Raw genomic sequence first — 1,958 nt, forward strand, 5'->3', positions numbered from 1 at the left:
ATATCAATAACACTTTGTACGCAGCTCTGTTGGCACTTACCTCACTCTAACGTTATTGTCAGTTAACATTTCTATATACCCTACTAGAATGTGTGTTGCTTGCAGGCAAAAACTGTTAATCCACATTCTATATCTTATGCACAGTACCTGGCGCATTGAGGGGCTCATTGTTTACTGAAGGAATGGGTAAATTATGTATAAATGCTCTATAAATGCTTACTCACTTATTCCAGAAGTTCAAATTTTTTGTCCTTTTTGATATTTATAATTGTTCTTGATAATATAATGTTTTTAAATACAGTGATGCTTGAGGGAGGCAGTATTTAAAATTACTTTTATATATCTATTAATACCTATTGATTCTTTGGTAGTTTACACAGTTTTGCAGTTAACCAACACAATGCTTATTCCAAAAAAAAATAGGATTTCAAGAAGTAAATGATAATGTTAATGCTTCATTATTCTTTTAATGATATCGCAAGAAGGACAGCAATCAACTTCGAGAATTGTTGAGAATAAAATAATCATCTAACCACTCCTTCCTCTATGAGGTCTCATGATCCATCTTCTATCTTCTGACTGTCTGCCTCCCCAGAGTGCCAGACGGAGTAATCTATTCACGTTAACTGTGAGGGTGAGCAATTCAGTCAATCATTTGAAATCTTTGTCTAACCAACACAAAGCATCTGGATATTTAGAAACCTCTAGACGACTGACTACATTTTTCACTTTACATCCAGATGTTTTGGTGTCATGAAGACACAGTCTATTGCTCAGAAAAATGGAATTGTGGTAAAAACATTAACACACGGTCTTTTCTCAAACAGTTCTGATTTACATTACTCATTTTCTTATGAGTAAATTTCTATTTATGCATGTTTCTAACATTGGCCAAACATTAGTAAACCAAAACCACACTATGTACAGAAAATAACAACTTTCTGAATATATAACCAGGAAAGAAAATTTTGTTTCCTTAGACACTTTTTATAAAGCAGACTACATACATCTTTGCCACATATGCATTGTCATACCTTGAACTTACGTAAAATATAGAAAATAACACAGTAGGGATGCATTTACTACAAAGAAGAAATCATCCAATGGGTGCAACATGCCTACAACCTCAAACAGAAAGGACCTGTAAGAATCTCAAGTTCATGGGAAAATGAGTCAATGCATTCTGGAAACATTATACTACTATGGTTCAACTTATCAATGGAAAAGAGTTAAATATCATTGAAGGAATAGCTTTAAGGTATTCATAAGGTCAAACACTTTCACAAACTAGCATGTTGTCTGTGCCTAATTCATGTACATTTTTAAAAGCAATATCCTTTCCAATTTATTTTTTAGATCTTCAAACCAGAAACATAATTTGTGATAACTCTGATTTCCAACTTTGTAACCTTTCCTTGGATTGACTTACTGTTAAAGTACTTACAGTAAGGCTGACCAAATCTGTCATGTAGGCAGTAGTAATAGCTGTATATAATGAAGTCCACTCATTCAAGTGTCTAGGTATATAAATTCATCCTTAATCATATGAAAAATGATCTCATAATTTACAGTGTTTGCAGCATACCATTTTAGATTAATTTCATAATTTTATATTGTTTAAAGGTCCTTTGTTCTCAGTGATTATGTATCTACCTAGTAAAATCTATAACATACGACTTTGTTCTACAAACCACTAATTTATAATCATTTTGCATATGTCAGTTCTGATAATTATGGTGCTGTACAATCTGTATGAGTTGACAGTATTTTGGCAGAAGCAGCCAGTTTTTATTATTATTATTTACATGGCAATTTCAGCTCTGTTTGAATTTTCATTGCATTTACAATTATCCTTCTGGGTTATTTTCATACCACTGAATAAAAATGGCTACCCTTACTTGATCTGTTTCAATACCAGTGACTCTAATATCCTTTAACAATTTAACTTTGTACATTTA

The sequence above is a fragment of the Homo sapiens genome, chromosome X (assembly GCF_000001405.40).
Source record: "Homo sapiens chromosome X, GRCh38.p14 Primary Assembly".
Taxonomy (NCBI): Eukaryota; Metazoa; Chordata; class Mammalia; order Primates; family Hominidae; genus Homo; species Homo sapiens.